Source organism: Homo sapiens, chromosome 3 (genome assembly GCF_000001405.40).
Source record: "Homo sapiens chromosome 3, GRCh38.p14 Primary Assembly".
Lineage (NCBI taxonomy): Eukaryota > Metazoa > Chordata > Mammalia > Primates > Hominidae > Homo > Homo sapiens.
In genome coordinates this window covers 146,161,185-146,174,260 of record NC_000003.12, presented here as the reverse complement: position 1 = coordinate 146,174,260, position 13,076 = coordinate 146,161,185, and positions in this window count along the sequence as shown.

Sequence of the window (13,076 nt, the reverse complement as noted above, 5' to 3'; positions counted from 1 at the left end):
AAATGAAAAACTAATTTGTCTTGGTTGTAAAGATTATATGTTTTGAGAGTTTTTATTAAAACTGATATTGAATTTGAACTACTTTGATAGCTTTAACTTTCGTTTAAATTTTTTTGACTTAATGCTAAACTGAATTTATATTTAAAATAATTTAAATATACTACAAAGGTTTCAGAATATACAAATGCAGTTACAAATCATGTGCTGTCTAGAAAGCTTGCTAGGCATATTGTTTTACATGTTTACATATTGTTCATGTTTTACATGAACAATTGGAGGTTCCAGTTTGTTTATGGAAGTTTTTGAAAGGATTTAAATTATTTCATAATCAAGCTTTTAAATTTTACTTTATGCAAAATCTTATTAAAAGCAATCTTAACAGGGCTATAGTTCAATTTAAAATCTTTCTAGTTTTTATGTGTATAATACTTAATTATTTCTTTTTTGTTTTGTTTTTTTGAGACAGAGTATGGCTGTGTCGACCAGGCTAGAATGAAGTGGCACGATCTTGGCTCACTGCAACCTCCACCTTCCGGATTCAAGTGATTCTCCTGTCTCAGCCTCCCAAGTAGCTGGGATTACAGGTGCCTGCAATCACGCCCAGCTAATTTTTGTATTTTTAGTAGAGACAGGGTTTTGCCATGTTGGCCAGGCTGGTCTCGAACTCCTGACCTCAGGTGTTATTTTAATTCTATTCACTTTATGGAAAAAAAAGGATGAAATTGAGCTCTCTTTGGACCATACCCAAAAGGTAGAGTCACCTCCAATCCATTTTTTACATGGCAGTTGGAAAGATATTTTTCAACAGCAAATCTGATTATGTTTCCCTTGCATTTCAAACTCTTCAACAACTTCCAATTGACATTCCCATAAAAGCCAACTCTCTTCCACCAAACGTTCTTCCAACTCCACCCTGCCTCTTCAGTTCCACCTCCTCTCACACACCTTGCTCACTACTGGTGAGCAATTTGTGTTTGTCTTCATGCTTTATGATTTTCAAATCCCTACAATACTCTCTCCCTAACTCCTCCTTCATCTAGTGAGTCTTACAATTTCGGTCTTCATTTAAACATTTTCTTATGAAACCCTTCCCTGACTATGTTAACCCTCCATACCAGCCCACATCCACACACTTTGTACTTCTTCCTTTCATCACATTTACAACACTTTTAATTATTTTTTCATCATCATTCCCTATGCTAGATTGCAGGTTCCCAAAGGACTGGAAATGTTTCTGTTCCCAACACACTCTATTCCCAGTACACATGATGTACACGGTGCCCAAAGTTCTACAGATGAATCAATACATTTTTTATTTAATAAAGCATCAAAATAGTTTCATAAAAGACATTTTCATCCAGTCCCTGAGAGCTGCATCTATTGATTTAAAGTACCTAACTTAGCACATTTTATTTCTTCAAACAGAAGCATGAATAAAGCAGAGTAGTTTAGTTGGAATCACAAGTATGTCCTTATCAGCAGATGAAACAAACACAGACTTTCTACAAAGAACCCTTAAAACATTTTCCTCCAGATCACCTCATTCCCACAGGTCAAGTTCAAATTTTATTGAGGTGTAATTATATAGATACAGTAAAATAAATATATGTTATGGAATGTTGACACCATCAAGCTCACTCTTTAGTGATTAAGTTCATTTTGATGATACAGTTTTTAAAGAATATATGTTTAATATGTTGATCATTCAGACTTTATATACAAGTTTCAAGAAGCTGAAATTTGTATGCCTGCAGATGAAAATTTCAGTAAGAAACAAAGCAGTTCTTGTTAGAAAAAGACTCATAATTTGGAGCTAGTATGTATGTTGGAATGTGAAGTTATGTGATAGGGCCACAAGCCAAATATAAAGTCTTTATAGGAAGTCTCTGTGCCTCAGATCCTCTGTCTCTCCTGGCATAGACAGAAAACTATTCCTCCTTTGACTTCAACTCTTCAGTGAAATGGGGAATTATTGTCTGCAGTATGTAGGATAGAAGGAATTGACTAAGGAACTCACCTAAGATGAATATAACATAAAGTAACACACTAAAATTATGGCAGCTAAATGAATCTCTACATTCTGAGTAGTAAGACCCACATGATTATTTTAGCCCACCCTATTCAAGAACTAGAATATAACAGCCAAACTTAAAGGCCATACTTCCCCTACATTCAGGAGATCGAAGTTTTCTTCTATAGAGAAGTTGCATCAAGGCTGGGCGCAGTGGCTCATGCCTGTAATCCCAGCACTTTGGGAGGCCAAGGTAGGCAGATCACCTGAGGTCAGGAGTTCAAGACCAGCCTGGCCAACATGGTGTAACCCCCTTCTACTAAAAATACAAAAATTAGCTGGGTGTGGTGGTGCATGCTTGTAGTCCCAGCTACTAAGGAGGCTGAGACAGGAGGATTGCTTGAACCCAGGAAGCAGAGGCTGCAGTGAGCTGAGATCACGCCACTGCACTCCAGCCTGAGTGACAGAGAGAGACTCTGACTCAAAAAAAAAAAAAAAGGTAGCGTCAAAAGATACTGACATTGGGAGCCTTCCCCAAACAAAATGTTTAGATGTTCTCTTCTCTCATCACCTTACAAAATGTACGCCAGTTGACAAACCCCACCTTTGCACATAGAGCTGTCATCTTTTAAACACCTTTTCTGACTAGAAAGTCAAGGATAAGTGGACCATATGAGGCAAGCTTTCACATAAATATAGTGGCCAAAACAAAGGAACTGAAGAAAACAGAGCGCAGGCATGAAATTGAAGAAAACGATTAAAAAAACCACTCTATTATACTTGAAGAATTAAAAGACAGTGTATTCATAAAACAATGGACTGACATTTAAAGATGAACATTCAGAAAATAAGAAACGGCTTCTAAAATTCAAATTATGAAATAAAAATTTGAAAGAGGCAGATACATTTAAATAATATTCTAAATAGAATAAAAAGGCAAATAAATGAAAAATCAGAGAAGGTAAGGAAATTAGAGGATCAATATAGGAGAGAGAATAGAGAAAATGGAGTGGAAAATTTTTCAAAAAATGGTTCACTGAATACACAAAACAATGAATGACAGAAGATTTACCCCAAAATGCATCATTATGTCACTGTGAATTTTAGAATACTGTGAATACAAAAGATTATAGAGGGAGGGAGGGAGACAGAGAGAGAGAGAAGAGATACAGATGGTAAACACAAGCTTGATCAGAAGTCATTGTAACAATAAAACAATCTGAAATACTGAAGGAAAGTGAAAAACAATCTAAAGTTCTATATTCGCTGAAACTAGCATTTAACTTATAAGAGTGGAATGAGTAGATTTTTAGGCATGAAAAGTTTCAAAACATTTACATTTCATGAACTTTTTCTCAGAAAGTTACTGGAGGATGTGTTCCACCAAAACAATGGAATGAATCACAGGAATGAGGATCTAATAAAGGAGAGAAGTTAAGGGATTCCAATGATTACAATGATGAGAAATCCCATGGGAATTTCAGCTCCATCAATCCAGGTAGGAGAAGGATGAAGGTTTCCTCTAAGAGAGTCATCTCCAAGACAAAAGACAAAGAAATTGCTGGATGTGACTGACCCCATTGGTTGAAGTTTTACAGCTTATCCCAAAGAATTAAAATGTAGTGGTGGCACATAGAAAACTAAGCAACTGAATAAAGAATTTAATGATAGTTTAGTACACAGTAAATAAATTTAAAAGGCAATTATTAATTCCAGGAAAAGCAGAAAACATACAAGAAAGGAAACTGAATTATGGTAGATTACTTAGCTTAACAATAAATATTATTTATACAACCACAATCATGCAAACACTATTAATCTAACTAAAATTGTGACACACATGCAGAGGATTGGCGATGGTATGTTTGTGAGTGTGAATGTGTGTATGTATGTGTGTGTGTGTTGGGGGGGGGAGAGAGACAGAGAGAGAGAGATAGAGAAACAGAAAGACAGAGAGAGAAAAGAGACTTCTGCCAATCTACCATCTTCCTTGGTAGGCAGTCAACTAATAGGTAATGGACTATGTTGGTTACCCAACCATTCATAATTCTTGCTCATGGGGCCTAAATTTTGTTTAAGTTTCCAAATCAAACTGTCTCCTGTGTGATTCAGAGAGAGCTGACATCATCTACAGCTCTAGGGATAGATATGAAGCTAAACATGAATGGCAATCATTTTCCTCTGGCACGATTGGTTTAAAAATGGCCACATGACCTAATTCTGGCCAGTGACACAAGGGGATGTCTTCTAGGCAGTTTCTGGGTAAAGACAGAAATATCAGCACTTCTTTTTCTTTTTCTGGGTAACTTCCTGTCAACATAATGCCCAGGACTTCTGCAAACATGTTGTTACCAGTACAAGAACCATAGGAGGGCAGGCCAATAACATCAGAGAGAAAGAGAGGCAGAGACCTAATAGACTGTGCCTGGGGACTTCCCTGTCTCTGGACAACTTCATATGTGCAATAATAAGTTTTATTTAATTTCAGCCAAATCAAGAGGCTAAGAAACAGCCCAGGGTTTCATAGATGATAAGTGGCAAAATCAGGATTGGAACCCAGATTGGCCTGAGTCAAAGACTTGAGGTCAACATAATTTCATACTGTCATTGTTGAGCAGTCTTTAAAGCATCCTCTTAAAAATGGAAATCAAATTTGTGATAGAGAAAGAAATTAGTGCGTGTGAAAGTGAGGGGATGTGCCCTATTGTCAACAATAAAGACTACAAATAAACTCTAGTAACTTACCTTCTATTGTTTTATTCTCACAATAAAAGTGGTATTTTTGGTTTTAGGTGGCTGCAATGTCAAAATTGATTAGTTTCTTGACTATGAAATAATTATGTAACTTTAATTACTTAATTATAGACCATTGTCAAATACACCTTAGCGATATCAACAACAAATGACAACAAACTATTACCTTAAAAAGATAATTCAAATTATTATTTTATCTGGGACACTATAATATATTCAAAATAATCCAGTTTCCCAAATTCAGAAAATTTATTTTTTCTTTAATATGTTTTAATTTTGATATATTACAGACTAAATCAAGTTATAACAATTTAATTTATTATTTAGCAGAGTGATTTGCTTTTGTATGTAGGTATTCAAAGAGAAAGCAGGATCTAATTCATTTTGAAAGCTGAAAGACAAAGAGCAGTGTCTGGAATGTGGTCCCTGCACTAAAACTATTTGTTGAATGAAAAACTGTGCATCTACTTTAAGAAAATCATAAGTGGAATAAAGATAAAATGAGATTTTTGACTTTTGGGATTGATTTTGGCCAAATTTGCTGTGTGGCTACTAATTGTATCATTTATTTATTTTGATTTAGGCAATAAATTATAATTATTGAAAAACTGAAGAATTCAAAGAAGGCATTAAAGTAGTTGATTTGATAATATTTCTCATTTCTTGAAATTTAAAATGTTTAAGGAAAAAATTTTTATTTAATAACTTGTTCAAATAAGTATTTGTCTTTTATTATAGCTAAAACCTTTTTTGGTAAATACTGATAATCCTTTGCACTTAAATAATGTTTTTAGGATAAAATTGGTGTCAATAGTCTCTGAATTCCAATTTTTAAGAACCATATTAACAGCTGGAAAAAAAAAAAAGAGGGCCCACAGACATTAACAAAGTAACACTGCAACAGTAATTAAGAAAAATACTGTGGTTGAAGTAAAAGATAATTAGAGGGCAGTAACCAAATGGTTACCTTTCAATATCAGAGTGGTGTGATGTAATGTTAGAGAACTTTGCAAAATAAGATGTCTGCAGGGAGTTCACCGACCATTTCACATGCATTCAGCAAATGGGCTGCATGATCATTATAGTGATCTTCAAAAAGGATGAAGTGGCTCTGTGCATTGTGATCTGTGTCTATAATACAGAAAATTATACCTGATGTAAACCATCCCTTTTAGAAACCTGTAATGAAAAAATACTCTTAAAGAAGACAACACTTATAATTCTAAGGTGCTGCAGTGAGACTGGGCATGGTGTGGCACACTGGCCAATGCCATGCTTTTCTCTATTGGTATATGCTTTAAAGTAAATTCTCCTTACTTTCAGTTCTATTGCAAAAATGTTTCCTTTTTTGGAAAAAAAAAGCCACATAATGCATTACCCAGATTTTAAGAATGGCAGATTAGGAATACCATTTGTACTTTTATGCCATATTTCTGAAGGATATCCACTTCCCTAAGACCAAAGTTTTATAATTTTCTATGATTTTATGCTCTCTGTTCTTTATATAACATCTAATATTAGAGTTATTTACATCTTTAACAAAATAACATCTAACATTAGAGTTTTACAACTGTTTCTATTACATAATAGATCTCAATATTTTCTTAGGTAGACTATACTTCATTTCAAGATAGCATCCTTAGAGATCTCACCAAGTAGAATTATAATACAATTATTTAACTGAAAGTTTCTGGTTGAATCAAACACTTGTAATCAATGTATGTTAATCTCATGTCCGTCATAAAAAGCTCTGCCAGAATAGGGATGATCAGAACCAGCAGACTAAGAGCCATGGGAAAGACAGGTAAAGAAATACCTAATAGCAGATGGTAAGACAATGCAGGCAGGAGGCCTTGAGGAGGTTCAGAGATTCAATTAAGTGACAGAACTCCATTTTCTGGAAAACTTAGAAGAAGATCAGGAAAGATCTCAGTCTGAGATGAATTAGGCAATCAGACAGGGATCCAAAATAGTGACTAAAATACTTGAACCAAGGTATATAAGGGCATGCTTAATCATAGAGGAATAAAGTAACAATATCATTATCAGAAATTGAGTATAGCATACAATCAGAACTGACTTAGAAAGATTCAATTGCATGCTGAGCCCAAGAATTATTGATCATAGACTCCTTGTGTTCTCAATTCTTACGGAAAGGATTGGTTTTAGATTCTAGGGGTAGGACAAGAAGCCAGTCAAAATTTATGGGGGTCTAAAACATTAGAGATCTTTTTAAAAAAGATTATGTGAGTTACAAGTATAAAATAAAATAAAGAAGTGAGTACTTATTTAGAATAAGAAAAGAAAGCCCAATAATTTAGAGAATCCTTGGAGCTCAGGGCCCTTTTTTCTAAGATTTCCCCAGGCCGTTTCCAAGAAGTGTTTTCTTAGTGATTGTTCCTGATTACAGCTTGGCTTCCCTTCCAGCCTAGCATATCGTACAACTCCCAGACACTCCTAGCACTTACAGGGGCCTTTGCAAGTGAGGGGCATTGACATTTAAGCTTCAATAGTTTCAGGGTAAATCTGCCTCTGGGCAGAGCAGATGTCAGAGAAAGGAGCTAAATGGTCCCGAGAAGCAGGAGAATGAGAGATTATAAGGGCAGAGAGTCAGTTAAAAAAAAAAAAAAATCATTAGAAACTACTGTTGAACAAGAAAATGTTGACTATACACGGTGATTAATCATAATTAATGCTAATCTGGTGTTACCTATGCCAACACGTAGGTCATCGTGTGGAACTTTGGTCAAACATATTTGGAAGACTGAATGTGAATGCCACAGTGATTGCTGACCCTGAAGGATGATTCACGGCCTAGACAGTTCTGCCCAATCATTTTGACTAGTCACAAACATCTGCTAGAATCATCTTCAAAATACTTGTGTTTGCTGGCATTCTTTCCTATCCTGGCATGCTCTTCTTACTTTGAACTTGGCTGAGCTTAGTTTTACATCTGACATCATTTTGCTAGGTACAAGGGTTTCACAACTCATATCCACAGAAAGAAGATTCCAGATAAGCACACTAAGATGACTAAAACGTAGAATTAGTGTTATTTAAAAAATATACTTTAAAGTGTCCTTATCTTCTCTTGAAGACAAATAAGAAATGAAAGAAATAAAACACCTCAGAAAATAAACCATGCTCATTTTCCCTGTGATAAATTACTGTTTTTGTTGCACGAGGAAACCTGTTTTACTTTTGTGTTAAGCAGGTCATTTATTGTTTAAGTCTAGCTCCTAGGAAATTCTTCCCTTTACTATTTTTGTTTGGTTCTTTTTATTTTTAACTTCTTAAAATGTAGTTGGTCTCATATAGGCTTTGTTTGAAAGGACGTTCAGCCTTGAAAAAGTCACCTGGTAAATCATTCCTGTCAAATTACAGCTTAAAGAATTAAAAGGGAAAACTGCTGGGGCCCACGGACTATACTGCAAACCTCTCATATATAAAGGGGAGCTTCAGATTTGTGGCAACTTGATCATCCTAAAATTAGAGAGGTCATCCCCTGACATCTGCAGCAGAGACCTGATTTAGAATGAAGAGTCACAGCACAAAAGTTCTGCTTCATGGTATTCTCTAAGCCCTCATCTCCAGTTTATATCTTATATTCACTGTAGTTTCTACTCCCATCTAAGTTCTGATCTTAAACTTGTGTTTCCCAATGCTATAATCAATGACCTCTCTGAGGCTTCCTCCTATTCCCCAGTCTCTCTTCTGTAATACTTTTCCTATTTATCTGACTTTAACAGTCTCCTTTGCTGATTTCTTTTTTCCTCTTTCCTCAAAAGGGTCCGCCCTCTCTGAGTTTCAGCTCTTGGATGTCTGGTGGTTTTTCTTTGTCCTCTAATTCATTTAACATCCCCCTTCCTCTGTACCTCCAGGGTTATTCCGCGAATTCCCAAAGCTTTACTTCTTATTCACTCCACAAATATTCATTGAATAAATATTCGTTGACTCCTTTTTCTCTCCTACGCCCACATTCAGACATCAAATTTTGTTGACTCTACATTCAAATCTATCTGGAAATTGACCTTCATTTACTGCTACTGACTTGCTTAAAGCCTCCGTCATCTCTCTCCTGGACCACTGCATTAGCTTTCAAGTTGGTCTACAGGTCTACAGACTTTCTGTTTTATTTCTCCACTCACTCTCCCTTATCTTCCTCTAATGTGGCAGCTGTGGACTCTGTGATCCTTTTTAAATCCTACTTCAGATCATGTCACTGCTCTGCTTAGAACCATCCAAATGGCTTTTCAATTCATCCAGGGTAAAGGACAAAGCTGTTACTAGGTTCTACCCTTATCACACTGTCTGTTTATCTGCTTGCCTCCGCCCTGCTTGTTACCTTCTCAGGCTTCATCTCCTACTATTCTTATGCACAGTCACTGAACATTCAATTGCCCTCTTGCTTCCTCACAACACTCCAGGTATTTCTGGTCTCACAGTCCTTGCACTTCCTGTTTCTTCTGCCTGGAACACAGGTCCCCTGTACATCCTGGCCCCCTCTTTTTCTCACCACTTTCAGGTCTTTGCTCAAGAATCGTCTTCTCAGTGGGGCTTTCCCAGGATCCCTTACTAAGGTTTTGGTATACCTCCCCTCCTTATTGGTCCTTCCCAGTTACCTTTCCTGATTTACTTTCTCTCTACCACTTATTACCTTATATGTTTATCTCTGTTTCACCTGAAACTAAAGCACAGTAGATTTTTGTTTTTTCTGTCACTAATAAATTTGTTTTTACCAATATCTATCTAGAACAATGCCTGAGATATAGTAGTCATGGAATATTTTTTGAATGAATCAATGAATAAACAAATGTGCTACTATGGTACTTACTCTTTGATGATGAAAAATAATTGAATCCTGACCTTAACAGACACACTGTCTAATAATAATTCTAAGAAAAGACCCTGTCACAAATGAGAGAGGTTTGCTTCAGAAGTTAGAAATCATGGAACAGGGACATCTAAACCCATCCTGAGGTAGGGTAAGTTACCCCAGTTGGGCTTCCTGTAGGAGGTGGCACTTGAGCTTGACAGACATTAGCCCAATGAAGGAAGGAGGACAGGTTTTGTCATCCTTTTTTTTTTTAGATATAGGGATAACATGAACAAAGGTATGGTTGCTGAGCAAATGCTGCTTCTCTCATTTCTCCTCAAATTTCCTTACCATTTCTGAGCATGTCACCCTGACTTCTTATGATCAAGAGTTACATCATCAGAGTGGCTGCTACCATAGCAGGTTGGGAATGCCTGGGAATTAATGAGTGTCCCTCAGCCCTTAAGTCAATGACTGATAGGTGTTGGGAATATATATCCCAGTTCTCTGACCCATTGACCAGGATATTTTTGAGTGATATATAGTACATCAATTTTGTGGGATTAAGCTCCCATTACCCACTGTGGTTGATTTAATTGGATATTTTCCCTTTCCTGTGTCATTTTAGCTTCACCTATCTGGTTTTCTCAAAACTCTCCACAAACCGCTAGTCACTGAATTTGGGCTCATGCTTGGGCTTCAGAGGAACCCAAATGATTCCTACCTAAACTTTAGAGAATTAAAGTGACAAAGTATTTGGTCTGCTTTAGGAGATAATAAAGCAAACTACGTTGGTTGGGTTTAGTTTGGCATGAAGGAATCTGAATACTAGGTTAGGGAATGTGGATTGTTTCCAAATCTGTTATGAAATCTGTTTGGGGATGAAGCAATCAAAAGGATATCTGAGTATGATTAATCTAGTTGTGGTATATAGTGGTATTACACTGGTGGTAGGGAAAGTCTACAGGAAATGGCATAGGATACACTCAAGAGTGCATTAGTTAGTGAGGTAGCAGTGAGAATGGAAAGGAATAGATGAAGAGAGAACATGAAGGGAAAAAATGACAAGATTTGGAGTCCGGCTCTGTGAGTTGGCGGGTGTGGGGGATGGAAAGAGAGAAGTAAAAATGTCTGAGGCCATATGAGTTAGAGAGCAGTAGTATCAACAGAGATGAGGGAGCCGAGTGGGATCTGGATTTGATGAGTTAAAAGACATATCAGGCCGGGCTTGGTGGCTCACGCCTGTAATCCCAACACTTTGGGAGGCCGAGGCGGGCGGATCACGAGGTCAGGAGATCGAGACCATCCTGGCTAACACGGTGAAACCCCGTTTCGACTAAAAATACAAAAAAAAAAAAAAAAAATTAGCCGGGCCTGGTGGCGAGCGCCTGTAGTCCCAGCTACTCAGGAGGCTGAGGCAGGAGAATGGTGTGAACCCGGGAGGCGGAGGGAGCTTGCAGTGAGGGGATATCGCACCACCGCACTCTAGCCTAGGCAAAAGAGCGAGACTGTCTCAAAAAAAAAAAAAAAAGACATATCGAGTTTTTGCCAATGGAACATCCAAGTAGAAATGTTCAGCAGATGGCTGGAAATGTAAGAAAGCAGGAAGGATTTGGTTTGAGAATTGGGGCTCTTTCAGACTGTTAGAAATGTCTAGGTATTTGAAAATCCCAACACTTGCTTTATACGAGTCTCACAGCACAGATGTTGTGACTCTTAACAGAGAAGGAAGAATGTCAAAATAACCTGAAATTATTAGTGGACTTTTGGAGTTTAAACACACACACACACCTGTGATGCAGAGAAGCCGGTAAGCATTCATGAGGGGAACGGGGGTTTGGGAGGGCAGGAAGCCAGGTTGTAGCTCTCCAAGTTCTTAAAGATACTGGAGAACCAAGGAAGCAAGAAGTCAAGTTCAAGGAGTTTGGCAATTGCAGGTTTGGCTTTCTGGAGACAGATCTGGCCAAAACACCAGCCATTCCTAGCAGAGTCCTTGGACTCAGAGGACTGATGCTGTTTGCTTTGTGCCTAGTTTTATGAAGCTGTACTTGCCACACATGAAAGGCTGTTATTAAGGAATCCATCTTTTAGCTTTTTTTTTCCCCTTCAGACTAAATAAACCTTATTTCATTCTTCTCACAGGTCATAGTTTCCACTTCTTTAATTATTTGTTACTCTTCTCAGAACTTTCTCCAGTTTTCCTCTTCTTTTAAAAAACTGAGACCAAACCTTCAAAACAGAGTAATAACTGGCTTAGTTCTGGGCACAGGAAATGATTCTTTCTAAAATGTCACATCCCAGGCAAGATTTCTTTGCAGGGTTTTCCACCTGTTTTTAATGCTATCAAGATGAAAGCATTAAGTTCATGTTATCTTGATATGTTAATTTTAGACAAAACGTGATCATAATGGAACACATTTTTCCATAATTTTCTGTCTTAATTTCAAAGGCCCAGAGTTATAACGGGTGTTGTCTCGATTCTGTTTTTTTCTAATTTCACGAAAATTTAGGCAGGAGATTCCAGAATGGTAGCAGTTTGGTTCTCTTTCTCCTATAAAATAGCTTATGTCATTAAATGTATGAGGCAAAACTGTCAAGCTTTTTTCTTAATTGTGCTTTTGCTCCCACTCATTCCAACAAGTTAAACCCTTGGCTAGTTAAAATGTGAGAACAGAAAAAAGGGAATTTTCTTAGACATCAGTCAAAAGTGGAAGCAGTGGGGGCCAAGGCTCAGAGATCTCGACCTCTCCGACCACGTCTTTGGGAGTAATTTTCCATGCGGACTGGAGCACGATCTTGTAAGCACAGCCCCGGCATTACACACGTTGGGCTCCGATTCCGCAGGATTTACAAGCCTCATTACTGGAAAGAGTCTAAGGCTCTCTTGGCACAAGCGGCGGAGCAAGAAATGTTCACTGGACAATAAAACTTTCGGTTTACGGAGTAAAATAAAATCACGGCCTTCCTTTTACAGGGTGATGAACCTGCCCCTGAATTAATGAGGGGCGATCCATTTCCATGGCTTAAGAGTCTGGCGAGGTCCCAGTCAGCCAAGATTGCCGCAGATTTGCAGTCACTTCAGACTGGGTGGAGTATCCAAGTCCATAGAAGAGCAAATTCTCACCCTTCGAGGCTGCTGTGGAAGCTACCGGGGCTGGGACAGCAGAGAGGAACCCAGACGGGAACACCGCCCTCCCGCCAGACTCCCGGCGGCTCCTCCTCCCTCTCCCAAACCCACTCCCAAAGCTAAGTGCAGGCTTCCCCGTTCCAGCCAGAAGCGCTGCGTGAGCCTCCACACGTAGCCGCAGGCAGCTCCTTAAATAGCGTCCGCGCTGAGCAAACAGTCCAGACGTGGGGCCCAGGAGGGCGAGCTGAGGCGACCGCACCGGGCGCGCAGCGGCGGCGGGTCAGCCGGCGGCCAATAGCCAGGGCGCGGCCCGCCCCGTCGCCTCCCCTCGGGGAGCCTATAAGGCCTCCGCAGCGCCCCGGGCGCCT